Here is a 27,704-nt window from a genome sequence, read left to right as displayed (position 1 = left end):
GAGGAGTGAAAACCTTTATTTGGAAAAGTCAGCAACATGGATATGGTTCAGAAAAAAACACAGAAGGAGCAAAACTAACATGAACATAGAAAGGGGGCCTTTGATAAAACGTCGAACACATCACTATTCTGAGGAAGGAGAGGTTTGCGTTGTTTCTAGTAAGACACAGCCCTCTGTGGCACCAAGGGGCTCTCATGTCCAGTCCAGGCCCCAGTCTCTGCGGGAGGGAGGAGCAGACGGGGTTAGCACCGTTAATCTCGAGGGTCTTGAGTGCAGCCAGCGCCCCTGCGAGTACTCTCTGAGGTCGGGGTCAGTGCTGGTCAGCAGCGGCCTCCAGGGCTGTAGGGCCAAGGTCCAGGCCGGTCACCAGCAGGACCCTCAGGAGACGGGGCCGAGTCGCCGAGATTTATGTCTGCAACGGCCTCCTGACCTTGGTTTCCCAAAACGAGACAGAGGCCAATGGCTGCCCCAAGCTGAGGAGAAGAGCTTGCTTTGAGTTTAATTGTAAAGTAACTGTTAGGTGAGGATTGGTGGGAAAAACCAGCTATGGGGACAGAGGAGAGGGAGGCTAGTGCGGCACAGGCCCCGAGAGGGCGTCTTGCTCAGGCTGGTGGGATGCAGCACAGAGGTGCCTAGGGAAGGAGCTGCGCAGGCAGGAGGGAGGGCGGGCAGGAGGGCAGGGCAGGAGAGCCCGGGGTGGGGAACCCAGGTGAGGCCAGCTCAGGGCTGAGCCCCAGAGGGCCCTGCACAGGTGACGCCAGCTCAGGGCTGAGCCTCAGAGGGCCCTGTGCAGGTGACACTAGCTCAGGGCTGAGCCCCAGAGGGCCCTGCGCAGGTGATGCCAACTCAGGGCTGAGCCCCGGAGGACCCTGCACAAAGCAGGCAGCAGCGTTGTGTCCTGGCTTTCCAAGCTTTTCCTTAAAAAAAATCTAGCGAATCAGGTTGGTCGGGAAAATTCGCATCACATTTTACTCTGTTTAGTGATGAGTGGGGAGGGGTGGGAGGACAGGGTTTGGTGCCGGCGTGCAGGGTGGGCTAGCCCAGCGCCACCTTCCTGGAGACTGTCTGGTGGAAGACACCGCGGAGCAGGGCCTGGTAGCTGGGGACACGGAACAGGTGGCTCTCGCCGTAGGCCACGTCGTACTCGGCCGTCTTGCCGGTGACCAGGACGCGGATGTGGGGCTCATTCACCTGGCGGCCCACGACCACCACGAAGATCTCGATGCCTGCCCGCTGGGCTTCCTGCACGGCCTTCTCGATGGCAGCGGGCGTGGCGCCCTGCGAGTTGCCATCTGAGAAGAGCAGCAGCCTCTTCTTGGCAGCGCCGGACGAGGCCTCGCGGTAGAAGCGGGTCACATAGCCCAGGGCATCGTTGACGTCGGTGGCGTCGTTGATAAAGTCCATGGCATCGACGGCACTGGCCAGGGCCGTGTAGTTCTGCAGGAACTGCAGCGACGCCCGCTCTGGGCGCTGCTGGCCCGTGCCGCTGTACTGCACCACCGCCACCCGCACGTCGTGGGCGGGGTCCGTCCTGCCCGCTGTGAGGAAGCGCTCGGCCAGGCGCTTGGCGAAGCGCTTGGTGGTGTCAAAGTTGTGGCTGCCCACGCTGGCGGAGCCGTCCAGCAGGATGGTGATGTCAGCCGGGGAGGAGAACGTGACTGCGGGGCGGGGTGGGCAGCCGTTAGCATGAGGCCCTGGTGATGCAGCCGCAGTGGGCCGGCCAGAGAGCGTCTAAGCTCCCCAGAGAGGGCACGGCACGGTGGTGCTCAGCCACCGGAGTGAGCCATGCACCTACTCTCGTGACCGCCAGGCCCTCCTCCCAGAGCCCCGTCCTCTCAGAGCCCTCGCCCCAACCACGGTGCCCTCCTCCCCACGTGTCCCGGCCGCCGAGGTACTCACTGGGGCAGGTGTAATCTGGACACTTCTTGTCTGTAAAAGAGAAAAGCCGTGCAGTGTGAGCCCACTGCTCCACCTATAACCCCGCAAGGAGATGTCACAGGACCTCCCGGCCGAGCACAGGGGTGGCCGTGCCCCCGGAAGTCACAGCGAGCCGGGAGGAGGATGCCTGTGGGACAGCCCCAGGCGGCCCCGTGCGCACCTACAGGGTGGCCGTGCCCCTGGAGGTAACAGTGAGCTGGGAGGAGGCCTCTGGGACAGCCCTGGGCGCCTGCGCGCACCTACACAGATCTGGGACGGCCCTGGGCGGCCCCGCGTGCACCTACGCAGATCTGGGACTGCCCGGGCGGCCCCGCGTGCACCTACGCAGATCTGGGACTGCCCGGGCGGCCCCGCGCGCACCTACGCAGATCTGGGACTGCCCGGGTGGCCCCATGCGCACCTATGCAGATCTGGGCGGTGACATTCTTCAGGAAGGCATCCTCCAGCAGCTCTGCATAGTTCTCCTTGACCAGCGAGAGGCCGGGCCGGCCCTGGGATGGTGCCAGGCCTTGGCAAGAAATGACATTGAGCTGGTCTGAGCCTGGGATGAAGTCAAACACGTCTTTGATGCCCACGGAGACCACCTGTGGGGACAGACAGTATCGGTGTGGCGCAGCCTGCTCTGCCCTCGTCTTTCTGGGGACAAGGCCACCCTGGCTGGCGGGGCGCCCTAGGCGGGGCAGGTGCAGCCTGGGGGTGGCCACCCCACCTGGATGCCGGGGCTGCAGAGCACGTTGAGCGGTGTGGTGTCCCTCTGAGTGTCTGAGCGCCCGTCAGTGATGACCAGGGCGATGCGGTTGTTCGGGCTGGGCGGCAGCAGCTGGTCCCGCGTGTACTGCAGGGCCTCCCCCGTGAAGGTGCCGCCCGCCATCCACTGCAGGCTCTTGATGGCTCTGCATAGCAAAGGGCAGGAAGGGCCGGTTGGGGCCAGGCCTGCCGCGGGGCCGAGCCCACCTGGGATCAGGGGTCAGGGCCGACCTGCCGTGGGAACAGCGGTCGGGGCGAGGGGTGGGAGGGTCCTGGCCGCGTGGGGCACTCACTCCTTGAGCTCCTGCACGTTCCGGATGCTGGGGCTGCGCAGGCTCACGTGCTCCTGCATCTGGCTGTGGCTGTACTGCACCACACCCGCGTACGACTGCCCTGGCTCGAACTGTGGGACCGGCACCGGGGTCAGGACGCGAGTGCTGCCCCAGGTCCGCATAAGCTTCCCAAGGGTGACTCTATTGGCTGCGGGTGCCCAGAGGGTGGCATGGCCCCCAGGACCTCAGGACCTGGGTCCCCTGCGATTGGCTCTGGGTGCACAGAGGGTGGCACAGCCCCCGGGACCTGGGTACCCTGCGATTGGCTCCGGGTGCCCAGAGGGTGGCACAGCCCCCGGGACCTGGGTACCCTGCAAAGCAATCTTCCTTGGTGGATGAAGCCCTCCTGGGTTCTGTCCACGAGGGACAAGCCCACACCCAGCACTCAGGACCCCAGACTACCGCCCTTCAAGGAGAGGGGGAGACCCTCCCTCATCTGGGGCGCCTGTGTACAATGGGCCAGCCTCGCCAGGTGGAGCTGGAGGCCTGGACGGGCTGGCGCGTGCCTGGCATCCTTGTCATGAGTAGGGAAGTCACAGGGATGCAGCGGTGGCCTCGGGAGGCTGAGGTCTGGCGCGGGCAGGGGCGGCCGGCAGGGTCGGGGTGCACCTGGGCTTGAGAAAGCCGGGCGGGGCGAGGCCTCACCTTGACCAGCTCGTCCCGGCTCAGCCGGTCGATGACCTTGACGACGAAGTCCTTGGCAATCTCGAAGTTCTGCAGGCCAATGCTCTCTGAGCTGTCCAGCACGAACAGGAGGTCGATGGGGCCGCACTTGCATTCTGCAGGCGGGGGCGGTGTCAGCAGAGCACGCCCCTCCCCTCCAGTGCCCTGGCCCCTCCCCTCCACCGCCCTGGCCCCTCCTTGGCTGCCACATCCTCACCTGACACGTTGGGGTCCCCCCGTCTCAGCCCCAGAAAAGCCCACCCCCTCCCATGGCCCCGTAAAGGCTGCTCTGTCCGGCGGCTGGTCAGGGCTGGCGTTGCTCAGCCAGGCTAGGGTGGGGCCTGTGGGCCAGAATGATGGAGCAGGGACCCCCCCAAGCCTGCTCCTGGTTATTTCAGTTATGGGTGAAAGAGGGCGGGGCCCAGCCCAACACCCGGGAACCCTGCTGGCTTGGAGCAGGCCCCAGAGGGGGCGGGCAGGTGCAGGGAGCTGCGGGCGGGGACCAGAGTGCCATGTGCTGTCCTGTGACATGTGTGGGACCCAGGCCTCGCTCCCCGACCCCCGGGATCCATTCTCTCAGGAGCTAGAGCCTGGGTCTCACCACAGCAAGCTGAGGAGAAGAGAAAGAGTCAGTTAGACCAGTCAGGGCCGCGTCCTGCGCACGTCAGAAAGGCTTTTACTCTTGGGGCAGCCTCCCCGCCTCCCCGGCCGCCCTCCTTCCCCGGCCTCCCCCCTTCCCCGGCCTCCTGCCCCGCCTCCCCGCCTCCCCGGCCGCCCTCCCCACGTGGCAGCTCTGCACCGCACCGGGGACTCTCAGCCTGTGCGGGGACCCGGGGGCCTGGGAGGGCTTTGGAGGCCGGTAGGGGCTGGCTGAGGAGCCTCCTCAAGGATGTACCCAGAGACCCAGGCCCCCAACAGTGGAGACACCCTTCTAGGAGTGGAACAGGCCAGGCTGGCGGCCCTGCTCTCCCTAACGAGGACGGCTTCTCAGAGATACTCACAGCACATTTTCATGATGATGTCCAAAATCTCGCATTCCTGGGGAGGGAGAGACGAGGGTACTGGGGCCATAGACAGCCCCTCCCAGCGGGGACTGTGGGCTGCTGGATCTCCAGGTCACCCTCCCTGGGGCCCCCACAGGGCGGGGTTTGGGCAGGAGGTTCTTTGCAGGTGTGCCCGGCTCTGCCCACTACACCCCTGCTACTGGGCTGGACCCCTGACGTGGTCATAGAAACAGCGCAGTCATGGGTCTCCCCGTGGCCGTCACGGGTCCCCTCATGGTCCTCATGGGTACAGGTCCCCCCATGATCCTCACACGTCCCCCCCCATGATCCTCACACGGGTCCCCCATGATCCTCACGGGTCCCCCATGATCCTCACATGTCCCCCTCCATGATCCTCACGTCCTCCCATGATCCTCACACGTCCCCCCCATGATCCTCACATGTCCCCCATGATCCTCACATGTCCCCTCTATGGTCCTCACACATCCCCCTATGATCCTCACGGGTCCTCCCATGGCCGTCACGGGTCCCTAGGGCCTGGCACCAGCTCTTTGTCCACAACCCACCCCCCCGTGAGCAGCGTCTACAGGAGCACCCATGGACAGGACCCACACCCCAAGGGATGGAAGCTACAGTGGTCGCCCCCAGCAATGTTCACAGAGCCCCACTTACGTCCGGCCCAGGCGGTCCTTGGTGTCCTGGGGGTCCCTGTCCGAGAAACGGAGTAGAGGAGCTCTGAGGGTGAGGAGCCCACTGTGCTTCCTGAGCTGAGACAGCCCCCACCCCCAGGGCCCTGCCCCTCATCAAGCCCACCCCTGCCCGGTCCCTCCCTACCCAGCCCCTCGTCCTCCAGTGACGGTGCTGTGAGGGCAGCTGGGGCTTCGCACACTGGTGGTCCAGGCGGCCATCCCAGGTGGGCCCCACCCTGAGGACCCGCTGTGTCCCTGGGCTCGGCTCTGCTGCCCTGGCCACCACCTGGCCCTGGTGACCGGCACCTCCCACCCCCAGGGCCTCCCAGATGACGTGCTCCCCAAAATTCCCTCCCGCCGCCTCCCACTCTCCCAGCCTCTTCCAGCATTCCCCAGCCCCAGCATCCGGCGTCCCAGGCACAGCCCACCGTGGCCTCACCCAGCCACATCCACCCACCTGGGGGCCCTCGGGACCCCGGTACCCCTTTGCTCCTTTGACTCCTCGGGGTGCAATGTCGTTGTTCTAGAAGGGAACAGCGTTGTGTCAACAGACCGTGCACCACCCGGGCATCTGCGCGCTGGCCCCGTCCACAGAGCATCCAGCAGCCGGGGCCCATGAGGCCTCCCCAAGCGGGTCCTGGTCCACTGCCCTTCAAGGGCCCAGCCCTCTGGCTCAGGTGGACTTGGGGCTGGCCCTGCCTCCCATCCACACTTACATCGTCTCCGGGGTCCCCGGCTTCTCCCTCGTCCCCCTTGAGGCCGGGGTAGCCCTTCGTGCCCTGCAGTGACGGGAGAGCACTTGGTTAACAAGGGTTTTATTTTGTTTTTAGGAAGTGGAAATTTTAAAAGGAAAAAAATAAAGATAAGAGAGGCACTCTTCTCTTCCCTTCCCCCACCACACACATTTCCTGGGCTGGAGAAACTGGGTCCCGGAGTGGCCTAGAGAGCCGTGGGGCGGCCTCTGGGGCTGGGCCTGCCCTGCGCACCGAGGGGAGATCGGTCACCGGGCAGTCAGGGCCGTGAGGAGACCCACAGGCCACACCACAGTGGGAGCCTCGCAGGGCCTGCAGGAGCCGATGCCAACTGGGGCTGTGGCCACAGACAGTGGGGCAGCCGTGGGTGCCTGTGTACCCCGTGTGTTTGCTCGGGAGCCTGTGTGCACATGTGTGTTCACACGTGCGTGTCCCTGTGACTGTGAATGTTTGTGTGCCCACAGCCAGATGGAGGAGGGGGCGTACTCACGTTTATCCCGGGAGCGCCCCTGTTGCCCGGATACCCCTGTCATGGAAAAGCAGGGCAGTGATACCGGGTTCTGATTTGAGAGGGGAGGCTGTGAGGGGCGCACAGCGGAAGGGCCTGAGCTGACAGAATCCCGGCCATGGAATTCCTGGGCCAGCCGGCGGTCCTGGGGCCAGCCCGCCCACCCAAGAGTGCCCAGTCCACTAAAGAGGGCGCCGCAGGCAGCTTGGGCATGTTCCTGTGGGCTCAGCCTCCGGACACTTACGGGGAAGCCGGGGAAGCCCTCGGTGCCATTTCCAGCGGGGCCGTCTTCTCCCTGGGGGAGCAGAGTAGCCGTCACCGTGCGAATCGGCCTGGCCTGGGATACCCACTGGCTGGCACAGGCCCGGGAGCACCTCACCCGCAGGGCCCCTCCGTCAGCCCAGAAGCCGGCTCCCTCCCCTGGGGCCACCCTGCTGGTCCCCGTGGACCCTGGGACCCGGATCTCGGGGCAGGAGGGGCCCTGCCGAGGCGGCCTCTGGCTCAGGTGCCGACTGTGGCCAGGAGCCAGTGATGCTGCGGGCACTCCCGGCCCGGTCAGGGACCCCAGGCAGCTCCACAGTGCGGGGCTGGGGCTTCCCAGGGCCTCTGGCGGCCAGGCCTCCGCCCTAGGGCCCGAGCTGTTGGACACTCACCCTTTCACCCATCAGCCCCGGGTCTCCAGGGGGTCCGGCAGGTCCTGGGGCTCCTCTGGCACCCTGAGGAGGAAGAGGAGGCGTGAGGGGAGCAGGCTTAGCATGGTGACCTTGGAGGGAAGCAGGGCCCTCCTGGGGCCGGGAGAGGTCCCATCGGGAGCCAGGACACCCAGGGCCATAGAGTCCTCAGAGGGCACGGGGCCAGCACTGGGCAGACAGTGGGTTCTGGATCCTCAGGCCCCCCTGGGTGGGCGGGTGTGGGTGGGGAGTGGGACTCACCTCGGACCCTGGGGGACCCTCATCGCCTCGGTAGCCTTTAGGTCCGATAGGGCCAGCCTCGCCCTGTAGAGAGATGGATATGGCACGTTGGACCACAGGCCTCACCCAGCCTGAGCCCTCCCTGACCCTAAGCTGAGGGTCTCAGACCAAGAGGCATCAGGGCCCCCAGGCTCTGGCCCCAGTCCCATCAGTGCAGGGGGAGAGCCAGGCCCACTCTTGGGTCTGACGAAGGGCCTGCACGAAGGGCCTGGGCACAAGTGTTGAAGCCCTTCGGTGGGCGCCCAGCTGGTGCCTCAGGCCCCCACGGAGGGGTGAAGCCTCTCCCAGATGACTTTGGTGGGCGCCCGGCTGGTGCCTCAGGCCCCCACGGAAGGGTGAAGCCTGTCCCAGATGACTTCGGTGAGTGCCCGGCTGGTGCCTCAGGTCCCCACGGAGGGGTGAGGCTACAGGTCCCCAGGCCGCAGACCACCTGCCCCTTCTCCTATCAGAGTGGCCCCAGACTGCCCTCCCTCATGGTCCCCTTTGGGCCTGGCCTGGTCCCCTTAGCCCACCCCCAACCGCAGGACCCTCTGTGGGCTGAGCCTGGACACCACCCTGCCCCCACCTGCACCTGAGGCTGCCTGCTGGACTTCCTTGGGTCCCCCACATCTCATGAGGACCCTGTGGGGGTCTATTTCCAGAGCTGGCCCCAGCTCCCACCTTTGAGGGCCTGCTCCGTGGACAACTCCAGCGGCGAGTCCCTGCCCTTCGGAGTCTAGCCCAGGCACCCCAAGCACTTCCCAGCGCGCCCAGCTGAGCCAAGAAGGGAGCCGTGTACACATCGCCCGGCCCACCTGGCCCACCTGGCCCACCTGGCCCCAGCCATGAGCCTGGTCGGACGCCTGTCCCTGGCCTGTGCCTGCTCAGACGCCTGTCCCTGGCCTGTGGTTAGGCTGATGCTTCCCGATGAGGCCTGTCCGGTGGTTCAAATGTTTACAACTTCCCCACTACCAGACTTGGCCCATTCACCATCCTGACCCCGTGGCCTCCACCAGGCAGACAGGAGGCATCTAGTGTATTGCTCTCTCTACCCCGACTGTGCAAGCACCCAGGCCTGGCTGTGAAGCTCCTGCACCCTTCGTGGTCAACGCCCCAGCAGTCAGGACTGCACACTTGACTGGGGACTTTGCACACGGGCCTCAAGGAGGTCCAGAAGCTCACCAAACTTGGGGTTCAACAGGGGTTAGTCTGGTACCCTGAGATCCTGCCTTGGGAACACGAAAAGGGGGCCAGGAGGAAGGATGGAAAGGAGGTCTCTGTGCCCTGGGCCAGGTAAGTGGGAGGCAGAAGGCCTGGACCTCACCACACACAGTCAGACTGTGCCACAGACAGCAGGAGGCCAGACTGGGCAGTTTCTGCAGAGCACCTCACTGGGGGCACCTCCTGGGACCAGCCCTGAGGGCCCAACTGCTTCTGGCATCCACACAGGGAGAGCCCCATGCTGGGCAGGGTGGAGGGGAGGGGTAAGGCTGGCAAGGGCTGAGCAGGGAGGTTCTGGGAGCAGGGAAAGCCCGGAAGGCCAGCTGGGAGCCCAACGTCCCGATGGACAAATGTGGCTCCAAAGCCACCTATCCACACCCCCGGGCCCCGAAAGGCCCCAGGGAGGCTCCAGGTGAACAAGTGCCTGCCTCAGCCAGGCAACTGTGAGTCATGGGTCACATGGTGCCCTGGTCTCAGGCGTTGGGGGAAACCTCCTCCAGGACAGCAGCCTAGAGACTATTCCCAGACCCCCAGGCATGGGACCCACCAGCCCCTGTGCAGCCTGCCCCACAGCCCTGGAGGCCCTGCAGCCGGCCTGCTCACAGGACTGCCTCTTACCACAACCCTTTGAAAGTGGCTTTGTTTTTTTCTTATAGTGGCTATTGATTACTTTGAAAACTGAACATATAAAACAGGCAGGGTGTGGTTAGAATTCTCCGAGCAAGTCCTGGCCTCTGAACGCTCATTCCCACTGAGACTTTCAGCTACCAAGGTCTGGAGCAGCCTCCCAAGCCTGGAACGTGGCCCTGGGCCGTCCCCTCCCCACAATCTGCCACTGGCTGCATGGCCTCTTCCACGCACTGTGCCCTGCACCTGGCCCTGTCCTGGGTGACCACATGGGAGGTCAGATCATCCTCAGGGCTGGAGCCCCGGGAGCTCAAAGAGCAAAGAGGATCAGAGACTGAGGCCGTGCACTTCCCCAGGAAGGTGTCGGGAGCCCTTTCTGCCCCTGCCGTGAGCGGCACGCAGGACCAGGTGGACGAACGGCCCAGACCCCGCCTGCCAAGCCCTGCCCTGGTCCTCATCTATGACACAGGTATTTTTAACAGCTGTGTAACACCCGTTGGCACCACAAAAGCACGATTTCACCTCGTGCACAGAAATACAAATGTGACTTGCACTGGGACGGCCTCTCCCATCTCCCTGGGTCTGAGGCCCCATCTTGCTGGACGTCTGAGACAGCTGCCGTGCCCAGGGTCTGGCCTTGTGCTCGGTGTGTGGGCAGCTGCGCACATGGAGCCGTAAGGTCGATTTGTCCACAGAAGCAGACAAGCTCGGGAGCACAGACTTGCTGTCTCCGGGCGTGACCGTGTGGAGGCCTTCCTGTCCCCGTGGGGCAGGTGAGCTCCGGGAGGATGCAACGGCCCAGCCCAGCCTGCGGGCAACACCACACTGGAGCCACCATCATGGCAGTCATCAGAATGGGGGAAGAGACAGAAAGCCGTGCGGCGTGCACAGCGATTCCAGAGGCTCGGAGAAGGGAATTTAGAATGAGATGAAAGTGCATTTTCATCCTGACACCCTGGGATTCTGGAAACCTCCATAGCCTCACACTCCCCAGTTGACCTCCAGCCACAGTCATGCCTGGCTCCTGACCCAGAAAAACAGATGCTGACCAAGCTCCCAGTGTCTCCCAGGGGCTCCAACACCTCTTCCTCACTGTGAGGCACCCTTGCCCCGGATGGGCCCCCAGACAGCGCTTCTCCACCTGGGCTGAGCGTCTCAGCGTCAGGCCCCCGGGCGCTGGGCCTGCTCTCAACAATCCACACCAGCCCGGCCCAGGCCGCGCCTCACCCCCTGCAGCCGGCTCCCACGCAGGGACACCCCCGAGATCTACGGAAACACAGAGGCCCTCAAACGGAAATGAACAGACCCCCAGTGCGTGAGCTGCTGGAGCACTTCTACCCCCAAAACCCAAATTGGCCAACGCCCCCCAACCCCACAGCGCTTCCTACCGGGTCTCCAGGGACACCAACGGGGCCTTCTCTTCCCTGATCACCCTGCGGGCCAGCTTCACCCTGAAGAGAAACGAGCCGTGAGTGTGGAGCTGGGCCATCCTTGGGGAGGATGGCTGCCCGGGCACGCTGGGAGCCACAGCATGCTGTCCAGGTGGTCACTGGGCTGTTCCGGCCTTCCCTCCCCGCACAGCCCCTTCCTGGCCTCGCCAAGCGTTTCCTCGGCCCACGTGCGTGGCCATCGGCGTGGCTGGCTATGGCTATCTTCATTCAGGAGGCCGGCAGCTCCTCCTGGGGCCCCAGAGGCGTCCCTGCGTGCATCCCTGCTTCTCCAGCAAGCTCCGTGGACCCGGCAAGTGTTTGTAGCCATGGACTTGTGGCCCGCCGGGAAGCTGGAGCTGCGTGGCTGGCCCTTCCTCTGGGCTCTGCCTGGCTGTCAGTCTCATATCCTGATCTCAGAGGAGTGGGCCTAGAAGGCAGTCTGAGTCACTAAGTCACACGATCCCTGCTTTGACGTCCCCCCGACCCCTCCACGGGGGCTGTGCGCTTCTGGGGAGCTCCCAGGGAGGAGGTCAGAAATCCCCCACCCCCCACTGGGGAGCCAAATCCCTCGGTGGCGGCGACTCTGGCCCCGGCTCAGCTCTCTGGCCCTGCTGGAGCCCCGCCTGTCTGTCACAGCACACGACAGTCGCATGTCTTGATTCTCGGACAAGGGGGCACCCGGGGGCGCTGCCTCTGAGGCCTGGCAGCTCGGCTGGGCACACTAGGGCATTCTCTCCCCTTCACTCTGCCCGCCAGGCCCTGGCTCTCCCTGAGCCGGATGGGACTGAGACGCCCGGAGTCTGCCAGCTGCCCCGCCCCACATCCAGCACAGATTTCCCAGCAAGTCACAGGGACAGAGAAGGGCCCTGTGCTTCTGCACCCTGAGGCTGGGCTGTGGGGTGGCCTAGCGAGGCCCACGGTCCACGGAGCTGAAGGTGGGGGGTGGCCTCTGAGGCCGCCGGCATCTCGGCTCTGGGGTGAGTTTTCCATGTCAAGCCTTCCCAGGCAGGCGCCCTGCAGGCCTAGCTTCCCGTCTGGGGTACTGACCCAACTTCCTCACGCTGGGAATTTTAACTAAGGAAAATTATTCCAAAGAAGAACCCAAGCTCGGATGCAGAAACGTGGAAGCCGCCTGGTGGGAAAGTGGGCACCGGGTCCACGGGCAACGCCTTCACATGAAACAGGTCCCAGCATCAGGCACATGGCTGGGCGCCGGCTTCAGGGGCTGCCCTCCCTGACGGCGTGGGGATGGGCTGGCCACGTTGAGGGGCCACAGGGGCTTCATGATGTGTCCTGTGGCTCTGGAGGCCTGACCCAGCCCCAGCCTCCGCCTGCCCCTTCCTGGGGTGGTTCCCAGCTCCAGGAACTGTGACTCACAGGGTCTCCTCTTGGTCCCCGCGTGCCTGGGGTCCCCCGTGGTCCTCTCTCTCCAGGGCCACCCTGAGTGGAGAGACATGGAGGGGAGAAGCCTCAGCTGCTGGAACTCACACCCAGCTGGGGTGGGGCTTGAGGCCTGGCCTGGACTGACTCCCCCAGCAGGACCCCTGGGAGGGGCCACCCCTCCACCGCATGCCCCACGGTTGCAGAGGCCGGAATCTCCTGGTTCCCCAGGTCCCACCCGCTCTGAGACTGTGGGAAGAGGCATCCTGGACGTGTGGGTGAAGAAACCCATTTGTCTTGGGCAGGAGGCCATGGCTCTCAGTGCTGGGAGGGCCAGACTGGGCCGCAGAGGCCACGTCCACAGCTACATGGTGAGGCCAACAGCGCAGGCTGCCCCTGCCCCACTCACCCGCTCCCCGGGGGCACCGTCAGGTCCTGGGTTCCCCTGGGATGAAGAGAAACAGACGCCGGCGTTAGTCTGGTGGACACACTGCATTTGGTCTCAGGGACGTGGAGTAGACCCCGAGCAAAGAGGATCAGAAGCTGAGGCCATGCACTTCCCCAGGAAGGTGTCAGGAGCCCTCACTCACCTCGTCGCCCGCCTCTCCTTTCTCTCCGGGGGGCCCAGGCTCTCCCGGCTGGCCCTGTGGGGAACAAGGGTTGAATGGTCGCTCCATCTCCTTGACCCTCCCTGGGCCCATACCTGGCATGTGTGGGGGCTGTGAAGCTCCTCACCTCGTCTCCAGATGGTCCCGAGCTCCCTGGTCTCCCCGCCTCCCCGTCAGCTCCAGGCTCGCCCTGGGGAAGACCGGGGGAGTCACACACGCTGGCAGGGGTGTGCACCAGGGGTGCAGCCATCAGAGGCCACATCCAGGGCCTCTCACCCATACTTCAGGCCACTCCCTCTGACCAACACTGTCTGAGCCCAGACCCCCCAGCACCCTCAGCCATCCACAACCCTGCACAAAGACCTCCTGGAATGCTCCAACCTTGTTCCCTGTGAGGCCCAGCCAAGGGCCATCTTGTCTAAGGGGCAGGATTTGGTTCCCATTAGAGAAGGCACAGCTTTGCCAGGCTGGCAAATTGGCAAACTCAAATCTAGGGCCTGGAGGGTAATCTGGGAACTTGAAGATGAGATTTGGAAACCGTCTGCTGGGTTCTAGGAGCTCGTCTGGGAATGTTTGGGGTGGGGTCAGCATTCGCCTTTGTCTTCCCCAACACTTCAGCTTCAACAAAGAAACTCCAGAGAAAACACCAGCAACGGCAGACTCAGCTGTCAGACGAAAAAGCTCCTTCTCCCGCCTCGTGCTCCCGCCCTCCCGCTGCCCACTCGCCCTCCCACCCGCTCACCACCCTCCTCCCGCCCCCGCTCACCACCCTCCCGCCCACTCGCCACCCTCAGTGCCACCCAGCCCATTCTCAGTTCTGAGAGCCATTCTGGGCTGCGGCTCGCAGGCTAGGAGTGACGCGGTGGGGTCCCATCTGTGCCGAGCGAGCGGCAGGTGCGGGGGACAGAATGGCGGAGGCCTGAAGGCCCTCGGGCTGCAGGGAAGGCTCTGGGCGGGAGCGCCACGGCCACTGTCCCCACGGTGGGCACTGTCCCCGCTGCTCCTCTGCCTGCCTCCAGCCTCCACCAGCTCCTCCCCTCTGAGGCCGCACGGGTGGCCGACATGCTCGGACCAGGACTTGCTTCCAGGAGAGGTTTCCAATTCAGCGCTTGGCCAACCGTGAAGGCCCTGGTCCTCCAGGGGCCGCAAGTCACTCACCTTTTCTCCTTTCAGTCCAAAGGCACCGGGGTCTCCCTTGGGGCCAGGGGGTCCTTGAATGCCCTGGAGAAAAGAGGGCAGCATGACACCACCGGCAGAGGCCACCGCGGCCTCTGGCAGCAGCCCCAGACCGCCCAGACAGAAGTCAAAACGGTCCACACGAGGTGCTGCTGACAGCGCTAGTTTTAAAGTATCAGTGAGAGGAAGTGACTTACGTCAAACCCGGGCGAGCCCTTGCAGCCTGGCAGGCCTGGGTACCCCATCTCCCCCTGGAAAGAGGAAGAAAACTAGAAAATCTGACGGCCAAGTGGGTAAACTGAGGCCAATCAACTGTCAGACTTGGTGCCCTCCATGCCCTCCACACCCTCCCTGGAAAGCCCTGCCTAGCAGACACCCCCCTGGGGTCACCTTCACACCGTCCACCCCACTCCTCCCTGTCCCTCCTGCCGGGATCACCTCACCCCATCCCTCCCCGTCCCTCCCCGTCCTTCCCCTGGTCACCTTCACACTGTCCACCCCATCCCTCCCCGGGTCACCTTCACGCCGTCCACTCCGTCCCTCCCCATCTCGCCCCATTCCTCCTCGTCCCTCCCCGTCCATCCTATCTCCCCCCAGTCACCTTCACGCCGTCCACCCCGTCGATGCCACGCTTGCCCTTCTCTCCCTGTGAGGCGGGAAAACGAAGGCAGGAGTCAGATGCAGGTCAGACATGCTGCCGTGGGGGCAGAACTCCCCCCTCCCAGCAGCCCACGCTCACCTTGTAGCCCTTGGGTCCCCTGGAGCCCTGCGGAGACAGGAAGCGGGTGTGAGGGGGTATTTGGGGTGGGGAGGGCAGGGCAAGCCTGGCTTAGGCCCACGCGAGGCAGGGGCTTGGGTGCCCCCAACCCGAGGGGACAACATCACTGCTGAGAATCATGGGGACTGACAGTGATGGGGAGGGGCCGCTCTGCAGAGGGTAACCGCCCGGGGGACCCCCGGCTCCGCAGAGGGTAACCGCCCGGGGGACCCCCGGCTCCGCAGAGGGTAACCGCCCGGGGGACCCCTGCTCTGGGGTGGGGTGAAAGTGACACAGGCGCCTTTGCTGGGTGCCTGGGTGGCTGTCCTTGTCCTTCCAGATGGAGGGGACGGCGAGGGGCGGTGGAGCGGGTCTGCAGGACACGTGGTCTCCTGTCAGGGACACTGTCCTCATCCCCGGGGACACCCTCGTCCAGGATGGCACATCTGCGCCTGGAGAGACCAGCTCCGAGGTCGAGCCTCACTCACCTTCTCCCCACGGCTCCCTTTTTCTCCCTACACACCCAGCGGAAGAAGAGGAAGAGGAAGGCTTGTTAGTGCTGTGCAAGGCTGAGGGCACCACCGGGCTCGGGCCAGGAAAGGGGGGGCACGTACCTTCATTCCCTGGTACCCAACAGGTCCGAGGTCCCCGGGTCTTCCCTGGAACACAGGAGGAGATGGTGAGACACCCCCGGAGGAGCAGGGGCAGGGGCCAGTCCCACCCAGCCCCACACCCCTCCCTCCAGCCCAGGCCTGGTCAGGCCGAGAGAGGGGCCCTGCTGCACGGGGCCCATGGTGCCGAGGCCCTCCAAGGTGGAGCTGGGGGAGGGAAGTCTATGGATAGGATTTGGGCCAAGGAGCCACGGCAGGGGCCCCGGACGGTGCCGGCCTGAGCACCCTGGGCCACCTCCCCACCCAGCCCCTCCCTGGCAGGGGGGCTTACGGGCTGCCTGGGGGGCTGTGTGGAAGGATGGCTGGGCTGTGGCCCCTCCAGGTCTGCTCCCACCCACAAGGAACAGGCAGTGTGACTTTGGCACTCAGAACCCAGCCACTCTTCCGGAAGTTTCCGAGGCCTAGTCGTTCCCCGCCTCCAGCTTCTTAGGGCCCCCACCCCACAGTCAGGCACTCACAGGATCTCCGGCTTCTCCCTTCTCTCCTGGGAGCCCCGGCTTGCCTCGTTCTCCCTGGAACACAAAACAGGTCAAGGTTGGGGCAGCCCCGTTTCTTTCTAAAAAGCTGGCTCACGAAACAGGTTTTTAAAAAGACGCTTCATCCAGCCTTCAGGGATCAAGGGCTTTAAAGCACCTTCCCCATCACATCTGGTCAGCCTGGGTCTGGGAGCTCCAACCCGCACGCCAGCTCCCCCCACTCCCTGCCTTCGTTCCTGTCTGCTCGGCTTTGCTGACCCCCAGGCACAGGTGGGAGGGACGTGCAGCACAGAAGCCCCCCAGGGTCACAGCTCGACCCCCAGGAAATGGCCATGGGACTCGGGCCCACAGCTGCTGGGTTTGATGGTTTTTAGGAGAAGCCAGAAATCTGAGGTCCATGAGCAGCCTCATGGCAAGTTTTAATTATCAGCAGCTAATTCTAACGTTTAAGGTCATCCTATGTGAGCCACACAGAAGCAGGGGACCCACATTCTCACCCTCCTACCTCCAGAAAGGTCCTTCTGAACAGAGTGCGGCTGAGGGCAGGGCGGACAGAGACACCCTCAGAAGCCCCCAGCGCCCCCGGGACAGTCCACACCCTGCACGGCCGGAGCCTGCCTGCTGGACCCCGCCGTCCCTTCCATCTGGACCCCGACATCCCCTCCATCTGGACCCCGCCGTCCCCTCCATCTGGAGCCCCGACGTCCCCTCCATCTGGACCCCGCCGTCCCCTCCATCTGGACCACGCCGTCCCCTCCATCTGGACTCCCGCCGTCCCCTCCATCTGGACCCCGCCGTCCCCTCCATCTGGACCCCGCCGTCCCCTCCATCTGGACCCCGCCGTCCCCTCCATCTGGACCCCGCCGTCCCCTCCATCTGGACCCCGCCGTCCCCTCCATCTGGACCCCCGCCGTCCCCTCCATCTGGAGCCCCGACGTCCCCTCCATCTGGACCCCGCCGTCCCCTCCATCTGGACCACGCCGTCCCCTCCATCTGGACTCCCGCCGTCCCCTCCATCTGGAGCCCCGACGTCCCCTCCATCTGGACCCCGCCGTCCCCTCCATCTGGACCCCGCCGTCCCCTCCATCTGGACCCCGCCGTCCCCTCCATCTGGACTCCCGCCGTCCCCTCCATCTGGAGCCCCGACGTCCCCTCCATCTGGACCCCGCCGTCCCCTCCATCTGGACCCCGCCGTCCCCTCCATCTGGACCCCGCCATCCCCTCCATCTGGACCCCGCCGTCCCCTCCATCTGGACCCCGCCGTCCCCTCCATCTGGACCCCGCCATCCCCTCCATCTGGACTCCCGCCGTCCCCTCCATCTGGACCCCCGCCGTCCCCTCCATCTGGACCCCCGCCGTCCCCTCTGGATCCTCATGGTGGACTTGGGTGCCCAGGAGGCTTTGGTCCTGCCACCCCCACTCCCAGGCCCCACAACACATGGGAGGAGCAGGAGTCACCACTCACCTCAAAGCCGGGGTCGCCCCGGAGCCCCGGAGGTCCTCTTGCAGGCTGCAAGGCAGAGGGGACGGTCAGCCAGGACCCCAGACTCAGGTTCCCAGGGTGCAGGGCGCGGGGTCAGGGGTCGGGGGGCACACTCACCTGGCATTCGAAGGAGCAGCACTGTGGGGGGAAAGCATGGAGACGAGTCAGTGGGAAAGCCACGGACATACGGCTGGGACACAGGGTGACATGCGACCCAGGCACATGGGCAGACGGACACACGGATGGACGCACAGGCGGACACATGTCCCAGGCACATGGGCAGACACACAGGTGGACACGCAGGGGGACACACATCCCGGGCACACGGGCAGACACGCAGGGGACATGTGTCCCGGGCACATGGGCGGATATGCATAGGGACATGCGTCCTGAACACACAGGTGGACGTGTGGGTGGACGTGTGCAGACTCACGGCTGGGGGTGGTGGGGAGGGCTCTTACCACTTGCTCCACGTTATTTTTCTGGAAAGAGAAATGGAAACGCAGAATTACTTTCCACCTGCGGCCGCCGCGGGCCTCCCCGTCTCCTGGGCAGGGGCCTCACGATCATGTCCACGATGGTGTCGATGGTCTGGCTGATGGCCTCCTCTGCGTCGCGGCTCTGGCCCCAGTCAGCCGCCGTGAAGTTGCGCCGGTACGTGTGGTCCGTGGCGATGATGCTCAGACGCGGCTCCTGGGGGCAGTGTTCAGGGTGGGCTGAGCAGGGCTGGGACCCCTGACGGCCGGGGCCGCTTCCCACAGGGCCAGAGGGGAGGCTGGGCTGGGGCGCTCCAGGCTCCTCAGCAGGAGGGGCTGGCCTCTCAGGGGCAAGGGTGGCCGGCTGGAGAACCCACACCCTCCCGAGGACCAAAAGACGGTCCCAGCTGCCGGGGGCCTTGCAGCCGCCACTCCCTGTGGTTGGGGGCATCTGCCGGGGGGGGCCGGTGCCTACCAGGTGGTCGGGTGTGATGGCCACCGAGAAGACTTTGACGCCCAGGTGCTTGGCCTCGTTCACAGCATCCTCCAGCCCCCCACAGGGTTCCTTGTAGCCCTCCAGGGGGTGCCCGTCGGTCACCACAATCAGGTACTTATTCTCCTTCAGGTGGGAGCCCCTGGACAGGAGAGGGCAGCGTGAGACCTCGAGACTAGGTGGGGGAACTGGAGGGAGACCCAAGCCTGTCCGGGAGGTGCTGGTCCCTGTCTCACCGGGAGGAGCCGCCTCTCTTTGCTGATCCTGGCTATACGGTGGGGGTTACTGAAAAGAACCTCACCATGGGAAATAACGCCTGTGGGTCTCATTTCTCTAAACTGCTTTGGAAAATCCACGCCCTCCCAGGAGAGGCACCCATGACCCCAAAGGAGGCTCGGTTCCTGGGGTGCCCTGGGGCGCAAAGCCCCTGACCAGTGAGTGGAGGCTGAGGGTGGCAGGGAGCGTGCCCCTCCGAGATGCCCGCCGCGTCTACCCACAAGCTGCCTCAACTCAAGGCTGCTCGGTCACCGTGGCTCTTGCAGGAAATGGGTGTGATGAGCAAACAACAGGGCGATCCCTGAATGCCCCAAATCCAACCCCCCGAAAGGGAAAGTGGGAGCAGCAGGAAGGAGGGCAGTATCGCAGGGCAGTCGGGCAGCCTGCTGGGGACGCTGAGCATCTCGGCCAGAAGGGCGAGCTCATTTAGGGGAGTCGTGTCTGTCTGTGGCTTCCACAGGGGGCCGCACTCTGACGTGTGTGGCCACATCCCCCATGCACCCCCTGCAGACAGCGGACGACTTCCTGAGACTCCAAGTCCCCCAGGTCCCAGCTTGGCACCAACTCTGGAGGGAAGTGGGCACAACCATTGGAAAGGGAATGTCCGGCCCACACCGGCCATGTGGCCCTCTGAGACCGACCTCGGGGAGAGGCTCTCCCCAAACCCCCCGCACCGCCTGGCTGGACAGGGCAGCCTCGGGTACCCCCACTGGGATCCTGAGGCCTCGTGAAGGGCTGGGTGTGGGGAGGCCACGTTCCCCTCTGGACACTCCGGGGCTTGCGGCCCCTGCGTCCCCACAGCTGGACACTGGGATGAGAGGAAACCCCTCAGTCCAGAAAAACCCCGAGAAAGCGCATGCTTCGGGTCTGATGAGTCTGTTTCAGTGATCCTAGCCCTGCTTGGTGTTGATGCTGTGGGGAAAACCACCCCGTCTCTCTCAGTCTCTCAGTCTCTCTGCCTCTGTTTCCGGTCTCTCTGTCTCTGTCTGTCCCTGTCTCTCTGTCTGTCTCTGTCTGTGCTTCTCTCTCTGTCTCTCTGCCTCTGTCTTTGTCTCTCTCTCTCTGCTTCTATCTCTCTGTCTCCCTCTCTGTCTCTATCTCTCTGTCTCTGTCCCTCTGTCTCTATCTCTCTATTTCTGTCTCTGTCTCTGTCCCTGTCTCTGCTTCTCTCTGTCTCTCTGCCTCTGTCTGTCTCTGCTTCTCTCTGTCTCTCTGTCTCTGTATGTTTCTGTCTCTGTTTCGCTGTCTCTGTCTCTGTCTCTCTGTCTGCCTGTCTCTGCCCCTCTGTCTCTGTCTCTCTGTCTCTGTTTCTGTCTCTGTCTCTGTCTGTCTCTGACTGTCTTTGTTTCTCTGTCTCTGCTTCTCTCTGCCTCTGTCTTTTTCTATCTGTCTCTGTCTCTCTCTGTTTCCCTCTGTCTCTCTCTCTTTCTGTCTCTGTCCCTGTTTCTGTCTCTCTGTCTCTGTTTGTCTGTCTCTGTCTCTGTCTCTCTGTCTCTCTCTGCCTGTCTCTGTCCCTCTGTCTCTGTTTCTGTCTCTGTCTCTCTCTGTCTCTGTCTGCCTGTCTCTGTTCCCGTCTCTGTCTCTCTGTGTCTCTCTCTGTGTCTCTGTCTCTGTCTCTGTTTGTCTCTGTCTGCCTGTCTTGGTCCCTCTGTCACTCTTTGTCTCTGTCTCTCTCTGTCTCTGTCTCTATCTCTCTCTGTCTCTGTCTCTCTCTGTGTCTGTTTCTCCCTGTTTCTGTTTCTCTCTGTCTCTGTCTGTCTCCGTCTCTTTCCTGCCCACAAAGTGGGTCAGGGAGGCCGTGCAGCCTCCAAGAGAACAGGGAGGCTGCAGCTGAAGCCGCACAGGGACCCCAGGCCAACCCCAGCCCAGGCTGGGTACCACGCGTGAGAACTGGCGTGGGCAGGAGGCTGGGGGCCACTCACCCCACGAGGAGCTGCTCCAGCCCCTTCTTGATAGCGCAGTCGGTGTAGGTGCCCTTCCCAAAGTACTTGACCGCGTCCACGCTGCTTTTGAGTGCGTCGCGGCCGCCAGGCATGCGCGTGAGGCCTTGGATGATCTCCACCTCGTCACTGTAGTGCAGCGCGCCTGCGTTCCACACCAGGTTTCGGTCACAGCGGTAGTACCTGCCAGGAACAGGCACGGCGGGCGTGAGGCGGGCGGCCCCTGGCGCCATCGCTACCCGTCCCAGGGCGCGACGTCACCCAGATGGACAGGCTGCCCCACCCTGGCCGTGGCTGACACACAGCTGGACTTGCCCTGTGGCCCTGAGGCCGGCCCTCCTGGAAGGCTGTGCAGGCGGGTGTGGCCAGCAAGCGACCTGCGCCCCGATCCCTCAGGCCCTCAGACCAGGAGCCCTGAGTGTGTGGCCCTGCTGGGGTGGGGTCCTTGGGCCTGCAGTGGGGCAGCATGACAGTGGGGGAAGGAGGCACCCCGGGGATCTGAGCAGCCCCCTCGCTGCCCTCTGAGCACCTGAGCCTGAGGCTCTCAGGGGTCTGCTCTGCCCCAGCCTGGGGTGGGCCCACCTCTGCCCCACCCACCCTCCCATCCATTCAGCAGAGTGACCACGGCGCCTGCAGGAATCCAGTGGCAGCGACATGGGGATGACTCCGCCCCATTTCACAGGTGGGAAACTGAGTCATGGGGAGACTGAGTAAAGGCAACAAGGGCGACTCGGGGGACGCTGGGCCACGCGGCCGCCCCTCCCCGGTGCCATCCACAGCCAGACCCCCCCCCAAACACTGCCGCACGGGCCTGGCCATGTCCACTAAGCTCAGGGTTCCTGGTACCAATGGCTCCTGCTGGGCACGGTGTGGGCTGGAAGGTCCACCCTGCTGTTACCGGCAGCCTCTGACTGTGCCCCTTCTGGTGGCGGGAGGCTCCGGCCCAGCGGCCAGTCAGCAGGGTCAAGGAGGACGGGGGTTCCTACGCCGGCTAAGCTGTGTCCCCACTGCCAGGACCCGTCTCAGTGGGGGAGCCCCGTTCTACATGCCCCCCCCTCAGCGGCCCTGTGCACCCACAGGACCGACTCCCCTCTCCCCCCGGTCTGTCCTCAGCCACACGCACAGATGGAGGAACGTGGAGCAGAGGGTGCCGTGTCCCAAGCCCAGAACCAAGCCTGGGGGCCCTGGGGCTGCAGAGCGACACCCCTCCTGGCTCCCGAGTCGGGGACCTTCAGAACGTGGGATCCAGGACCCAGGTAGAGGCTCTCACTGCCCACGGAACAAACCAGGGTCCAGGTGGTTAGTGAGGGGCTCCCGCGCACCAGGCAGGACTGCGTGTCTGGGCCAGTGCGCTGAGCCCTCTCGGTCAGCCTGCGGGAGCCTCTCTTCCCTACATCTCAGCCTCACTGTCACCTCGGCCCTGCTGAACAGGTGCCACCCCCGCGAGCAGGGTCTCAAACCAGCTCACTCTGGAAGGCGCTGGGAGAGGCTCAGACCAGCTCACTCTGGAGGGCGCCGGAAAGGGCCCCGGCCTCACTCTGGAGGGCGCCGGGAGGGGCCCCGGTCAGGGCAACGCTCGCCCAACCTTAGGAGGTTGAGGCCGTCGCACCCGTGTTCCCCTGGGCCCCCACCCCTCCCTCCAAGAGGCCCAGAAGCACAGGAGGAAGGTCACGGGGCGTCCCTCCTACCTGTCCCTCAGGTTGTCGATGAAGCGCTTGGTGAAGGACTTGACTTTGTCCACGAGGGCCCCGTAGGGCTTCAGCCTCAGGGCCACGCTCTCAGAGGTGTCCAGCACAAAGAACAGGTCCACGGGGCAGTCTGGCCGAAGATGGAGGAGAGGGGCCTTCAAGCTCTCGCCCCATTCCCCGAGTCTCTGCTGGGCCTGCCCTCCCGGCCAGCCCAGCGCCTGCAGCACAGAGCCCCGGGCCCGGAGAGGCTCTCCCGGGAAAAGGCAGCAGGACGTCCCTCGGTGGGGACGGTGGGGAGGGGGTGGAGTGAGAGACCCCAAACCGCTCCTGTGCCTCGAGGGGAGTCAGAAACCTTCACAACCTCCCCCGAAGGGCAGGGCGTCCCCGGCACGGGACCGGACAAGTGAGACCTCACGGGAAGGTTTCTCGCTGGATTCAGAACCAGCAGCGCACGACTTCTTCTAGAACGGGGGTCGGGGGGGCCGTGCGTCTGGACTCACTGCCAGGTGAGGGGTCAAACGGATTCACGGGGCGCCGAGACAGCCCCGCACCAGCTCCCCCTCGCCAGGGAGCCCCTCCCGAGCTGCCTGCGGTCCGGCCCCGCTGAGAATGCTGAATGCTGAGCCTCTAGGGGCCCCGGCCAAGGCCCGGTGGGGCAGAGCTGGGCGCTGCAGCCGCCCCGAGCGGGGAGTGGGGTTCAGGGGCTCCAGGCCCCCAGTCTGCAGTTCCACGCGTGGGAGGGGACCCCGCGCATCTGGCCCTGGCCGGCAGCAAAGAGCGGGGGGTCTGGAGCCTGCACCCCAAGCCACCACTCACCCTGGAAGGCCACGGCCCTCGGGGTCTCCGGCTCATCCTGCGCGGCTGTCCAGCAGGCCTGCAGCAGCAGGGGCAGCAGAGCACGGGCCGCCCTCATGTCTGGGGCCTGCGGTCACCACACAGCGCGGCCAGGGCAGAGTGGGCCGCCGCCGCCGCCCAGAGACCGAGGCTGCCTTCTGCTCCCAGCCAGAGTGAGAGCGGAGGGCAAGGAGGGGAGGGGCGGGGCGAGAGGGGCGGGAGGGGAGGGGAGGGGCGGGAGGGGAGGGGAGGGGCGGGGCGGGAGGAGAGGGGAGGGGAGGGGAGGGGCGGGAGGAGAGGGGAGGGGCGGGAGGGGAGGGGCGGGGCGGGAGGGGAGGGGCGGGGCGGGGCGGGGAGGAGCGGCCCATGAGTCACCACCTCCTTGCTGGGGTCTCTCCCTCCAGAACCGGCAGCAGCTCCGAGCCCAGGGAGAAGGCGGTTTCCCTGGCTGGCTCGCCGCGGCCTGCAGTTCAGTTCCCGTGTCAGGGAGGAGGAAACTGCAGCAGCTGAATCAAACGTCTGAAAACCAGCGTGTCACCCAGGGAGAGTTCCTTGAAACATCTTTCGGTAGTTTCCAATCCAGACGTCTCCATGCGGGACGCACGGGCAGGCTCACTCGCCTCTTCCCACCAACCGCCTCCTGCAGAGGACCTCGCCGTGAGCTGAATTGTTGCTTTATCAGATCTCCGCGTTCTTTTTTCACGTCAATATTTCTTCACAGTATAGTCGGATACGTATTTGCCAAAGATATTTCAGTTTGTACCGTGGGAAGACAAAGTTGCTCACAATATAGTTGTTATATATGCTGTGTGTGGAGACAGAGAGACAGAGACAGAGAGACAGAGAGAGACAGTGAGAGAGAGACAGAGAGACAGAGACAGAGAGACAGACAGAGACACAGACAGAGGAGAGACAGAGACAGAGAGAGAGACAGAGACAGAGAGAGACAGAGAGACAGAAAGACAGAGAGAGACACAGAGAGACAGAGGAGAGACAGAGACAGAGAGACAGAGACAGAGAGACACAGAGAGACAGAGAGACAGAGAGACAGAGACAGAGAGAGAGACAGTGAGAGACAGAGACAGAGAGACACAGAGACAGAGAGACAGAGAGAGACAGAGACAGTGAGAGAGAGACAGAAAGACAGAGACAGAGAGACAGACACAGAGAGACAGAGGAGAGACAGAGACAGACAGAGAGAGACAGAGACAGAGAGAGACAGAGAGACAGACAGAGAGAGACAGAGAGAGAGACAGAGACAGAGACACAGAGAGAGGAGAGACAGAGAGAGACAAAGACAGAGACAGAGAGACAGAGACAGAGAGAGACAGAGAGGAGAGACAGACAGAGACGGAGAGACAGAGACAGAGAGACAGAGACAGAGAGACAGAAAGAGAGACAGAGAGAGGAGAGAGGGGCTGTCCCTGATATCACCTGGGGGTGGGCTCCAGATGTGGCCAGATGCATCCCTGGCCCACAGAAGGTCCCAGAAGAGCTTTCCCAAAGCTGGAGCTGCTGAGACTTGCCTAACACCAGCCTAAATGTCTTATAATTTTAAAACGTACACAAATTGTTCATACCAAAAACCATGTTAAAGAAACATTTGAAAAAACCTTTAAAATTGATACTTAATTCCACAACTCCACAGTGACTGTTTTTGGATTGCCTTCAATATTTTCCCCACACCTACGTTACAGAAGTTGTAAAGTACTTCTCCTTCTTTTCCTCCTCCTCCTCCTCCTCCTCCTCCTTATTATTATTATTATTATCTAAGGGGCTCACTCTGTCATCCAGGCTGGAACGTAGTGGCCTCATCACAGCTCACTGCAGCCTCAGTCTCCTGGGTTCAGGTGATCCCTCCACCTCAGCCTCCCGAGTAGCTGGGATCACAGGCATGTGCCACCATACCCAGCTAATTTTGTATGTTTTGTAGAGATGGGGGTCTCACGATGTTGCCCAGGCTGGTCTCGAACTCCTGGACTCAAGTGGTCCTCCTGCCTCGGCCTCCGAAAGTGCTGGGATTACAGGCATGAGCCACCGTGCCTGGCCTTGTACACTTACTGTACAGTCAATTTACCTGCCACTGATGTCATCCACACTGTGGCTGTGGGTGCTGAGGTTTGGTGCTGCCTGCTTGGAGCTGTGGCACCAGCCTCTGGGCTCCTGACTCAAGCACAGGGGGCTTCAGGACCTCCGTGTTCTCTTGGCCTCTCCCAGTCTGAGCTGTTTTATCTGCAAGGAGTGCTTGCAGATTTGGGAAAGGAAATAGGAACACGTTGTGTAAGCAAACACCAAGAATGCAGCATTCCCTGCAGTGAGGGTCCCACCACAGGCACACAGCAGCAGGTGGCTGACACACGGTCTGTAAGATGGAAGAGATGCGGACGCCCAGGGACAGGTTCACGGGGCCCAGTGGCCAATGGCCTGTTTTGCCTTGCAGAGGTGGTTTCATAAGTCAGTTCACAGTATACCACCGGCTCCGCCAGCAGGTCCGCGGGGTGGGTGCGGCGGGAGCTGTGGAGATGCGTGGGAATAACGCCGACACCCCAGGCTGCAGCATCCTGAGCTCCAGGGCCGCGGTCCGACTCCTCCCCCGGTCCCAGGCTTCATCCTGGCCTGGGCTTCTCCGAGGCAGGGCTGGGGCCGCACTGTGTGAGGGGCTCAGGCTCAGGGCGGTCCCAGGCCTGGGTGGGGCCCAGAGGTGCCTCTGCTTCACAGGAAATCTGCAATGATGACTCAGAGTAAACTTGACTCTTTCTCTTATGAAGAAGATACATGTTCATCATAGCGAATTTTTTAAAATCATAAAGCAACATCTAGTTTCACTACCGAGTGGGATTCAGAGCTAATACTTCAGTGTGTTTCTGCTTAAGCGTTTTTCTTTTTTTTAGATGGAGTCTTGCTCTGTCGCCCAGGCTGGAGTGCAGTGGCACAATCTCGGCTCACTGCAACCTCCGCCTCCCGGGTTCAAGTGATTCTCCTGCCTCAGCCTCCCAAGTAGCTGGAACTACAGGCACATGCCACCATGCCCAGCTAATTTTTGTATTTTTAGTAGAGGTAGGGTTTCGCCATGTTAGCCAGGCTGGTCTCAAACTCCTGACCTCAGGTGATCCGCCCTCCTCGGCCTCCCAAAGTGCTGGGATGACAGGCGTGAGCCACCGTGGCCACCGTGCTATAAGTGTGTTTATAGACGTGCTGTCGCCTGCTCTGTGCACCGTACCGTGAGCGTGTTCATAGACGTGCAGTCGCCTGCTTTGTGTTCCTTCATGCACTTTCATCAGGGATCTTTTCTGATTGTAAGTGATGCTTATGTCTCAGGGAGAACATGAAAACCACATAAAGCATGAAAATAAAACATCCTGAATCCCAGTCCTGGCTGAGCTTACTGTTGTCATGGGGCTGATTTCCACAACCTGCCCCACCCACAGCGGGTGAGCTCCCTCCGCTCCCCCCCTCCTCTCTCCTGTCCCCTTTGCTCCCTCTTTTCTCTTCTCTCCCCCTCCCTCCTCTCACGCTCAGTCCTCTCCCTCTCCCTCCTCTCATGCTCACTCCTCTCCCTCTTCCCTCCTCTCCCCCTCCTTCCTCTCACGCTCACTCCTGTCCCCCTCCCTCCTCTCTCCTGTCCCCTCCTCTCCGCCTCCCTCCTCTCATGCTCACTCCTCTCCCCCTCCCTCCTCTCACGCTCACTCCTGTCTCCCTCCCTCCTCTCTCCTGTCCCCTCTCCCCCTCCCTCCTCTCACGCTCACTTCTCTCCCCCTCCCTCCTCTCATGCTCACTCCTCTCCCCCTTCCCTCCTCTCCCCCTCCCTCCTCTCCCCCTTTTCCCCTCTCTCCCCCTCCCTCCTCTCACACTCACTCCTCTCCCCCTTCTTCCTCTCTCCTGTCCCCTCCTCTCCCCCTTCCCTCCTTTCCCCCTCCCTCCTCTCACACTTGCTCCCCTCCCCCTTTCCTCATCTCCCCCTCCCTCTTCTCCCCTGTCCTCATTCTCCTCTCCGGCTCCCTACTCTCCCCTTCACCGTCTCCCTCCTCTCTCCCATCCCCTATTCTCCTCCTCCCTCCTCTCTCCCCCCCTCTCCCCCTCCCTCCTCTCTCCCCCTCCCTCCTCTCTCCCCCTCCCTCCTCTCTCCCCCTCCCTCCTCTCTCCCCCTCCCTCCTCTCTCCTGAAGTTACCCAGGTGTCTCTGGCACATGTCCACCCCCAAGCCCCCATCCAGGCCATTCCTGCAGGAGATCCTTCTCCCATGGGGCTCCACCCCCCAACCCCAGCCCAGTCGGCTTCCAGGATCCTAGGAAGCACAGAGCCAGGAAACCACTGCCCTGGGGGGCCTCCCAGAGAGCTGCACTGCAGGGTCTGGCTGGGAAGGGCCCTGCAACCCCGCCTGTGTGTGGGGGGAGGTAAATGCACTTCCAGAGAAAGGGAAGAAGGGGGCGAGCCACATCCCCTCCCTGGCGACCTGGCTGTCCTTTCTCAGGCCTGCCGGCCCTTCTGTGGATGGGGACTCTGGGCCCAGTCTGGGATCCCAGAAGCAGCTGTGGGGAGCAGGACTTACCCCACTGTGCCAGTCGTCCACAGCCCTGGGGGGATCT

At 63.4% G+C, this 27,704-nt stretch overlaps 1 protein-coding gene and 1 long non-coding RNA gene across 3 annotated transcripts, besides 4 other annotated features; both read right to left on the bottom strand.

Moving 5' to 3' along the window:
- Nucleotides 1-23,279, bottom strand: COL6A1 (collagen type VI alpha 1 chain). Its single transcript, NM_001848.3, has 35 exons — nucleotides 23,102-23,279; nucleotides 22,286-22,415; nucleotides 20,580-20,780; nucleotides 18,364-18,523; nucleotides 17,977-18,105; nucleotides 17,874-17,894; nucleotides 17,530-17,550; nucleotides 17,395-17,439; nucleotides 15,912-15,965; nucleotides 15,397-15,441; nucleotides 15,271-15,297; nucleotides 14,765-14,791; nucleotides 14,627-14,671; nucleotides 14,223-14,276; nucleotides 14,008-14,070; nucleotides 12,977-13,039; nucleotides 12,832-12,885; nucleotides 12,651-12,686; nucleotides 12,239-12,301; nucleotides 10,820-10,882; nucleotides 7,566-7,628; nucleotides 7,287-7,349; nucleotides 6,878-6,928; nucleotides 6,616-6,651; nucleotides 6,090-6,152; nucleotides 5,831-5,896; nucleotides 5,357-5,392; nucleotides 4,682-4,718; nucleotides 4,282-4,290; nucleotides 3,663-3,796; nucleotides 2,979-3,088; nucleotides 2,648-2,831; nucleotides 2,339-2,522; nucleotides 1,900-1,929; nucleotides 1-1,658 (listed from the first exon to the last, which is right to left on the bottom strand). The coding sequence occupies exons 1-35, from the start codon at nucleotides 23,196-23,198 to the stop codon at nucleotides 1,036-1,038; spliced, it is 3,087 nt and encodes a 1,028-aa protein (NP_001839.2). The 5' UTR covers nucleotides 23,199-23,279; the 3' UTR covers nucleotides 1-1,035.
- Nucleotides 8,627-9,442: an enhancer, noted in NCBI's record as "H3K4me1 hESC enhancer chr21:47415521-47416336 (GRCh37/hg19 assembly coordinates)". NCBI's record gives its function as "activates a minimal SCP1, AML or CMV promoter by ChIP-STARR-seq in naive H9 embryonic stem cells {active_cell/tissue: H9 hESC(naive)}" and the evidence as "EXISTENCE:reporter gene assay evidence [ECO:0000049][PMID:30033119]".
- Nucleotides 9,443-10,258: an enhancer, noted in NCBI's record as "H3K4me1 hESC enhancer chr21:47414705-47415520 (GRCh37/hg19 assembly coordinates)". NCBI's record gives its function as "activates a minimal SCP1, AML or CMV promoter by ChIP-STARR-seq in primed H9 embryonic stem cells {active_cell/tissue: H9 hESC(primed)}" and the evidence as "EXISTENCE:reporter gene assay evidence [ECO:0000049][PMID:30033119]".
- Nucleotides 21,798-22,658: an enhancer, noted in NCBI's record as "H3K27ac-H3K4me1 hESC enhancer chr21:47402305-47403165 (GRCh37/hg19 assembly coordinates)". NCBI's record gives its function as "activates a minimal SCP1, AML or CMV promoter by ChIP-STARR-seq in naive H9 embryonic stem cells {active_cell/tissue: H9 hESC(naive)}" and the evidence as "EXISTENCE:reporter gene assay evidence [ECO:0000049][PMID:30033119]".
- Nucleotides 22,659-23,521: an enhancer, noted in NCBI's record as "H3K27ac hESC enhancer chr21:47401442-47402304 (GRCh37/hg19 assembly coordinates)". NCBI's record gives its function as "activates a minimal SCP1, AML or CMV promoter by ChIP-STARR-seq in naive H9 embryonic stem cells {active_cell/tissue: H9 hESC(naive)}" and the evidence as "EXISTENCE:reporter gene assay evidence [ECO:0000049][PMID:30033119]".
- On the bottom strand, nucleotides 23,483-27,704 carry LOC105372841 (uncharacterized). Of its 2 annotated transcripts, none has more exons than XR_937803.3 (3): nucleotides 26,340-26,544; nucleotides 25,197-25,842; nucleotides 23,483-23,759 (listed from the first exon to the last, which is right to left on the bottom strand). It is a non-coding gene; the product is annotated as an uncharacterized LOC105372841 (long non-coding RNA). The 2 variants fall into 2 exon arrangements; XR_001755091.2 differs by lacking the exon at nucleotides 23,483-23,759 and adding an exon at nucleotides 27,668-27,704 and having other exon boundaries at nucleotides 25,103-25,842; nucleotides 26,340-26,432.

This window comes from Homo sapiens, chromosome 21, assembly GCF_000001405.40.
Source record: "Homo sapiens chromosome 21, GRCh38.p14 Primary Assembly".
In the NCBI taxonomy this organism is placed as follows: Eukaryota; Metazoa; Chordata; class Mammalia; order Primates; family Hominidae; genus Homo; species Homo sapiens.
The sequence above is the reverse complement of the archived record's forward strand: the minus strand, read 5'-3'. Positions and strand labels throughout refer to the sequence as shown.

Bases quoted from the DNA above. Each gene is read 5' to 3' on its own strand.
- COL6A1 (NM_001848.3), bottom strand. From the start codon at position 23,198: ATGAGGGCGGCCCGTGCTCTGCTGCCCCTGCTGCTGCAGGCCTGCTGG. The intron at 5,393-5,830 runs GTGGGTGGATGT...TTTCTCGGACAG, and splicing joins GGGGTCCCGAGGGCCCCCAG to GGACCCCCAGGACACCAAGG. The intron at 1,659-1,899 runs GTGAGTACCTCG...CCCGCCCCGCAG, and splicing joins TCCAGATTACACCTGCCCCA to TCACGTTCTCCTCCCCGGCT.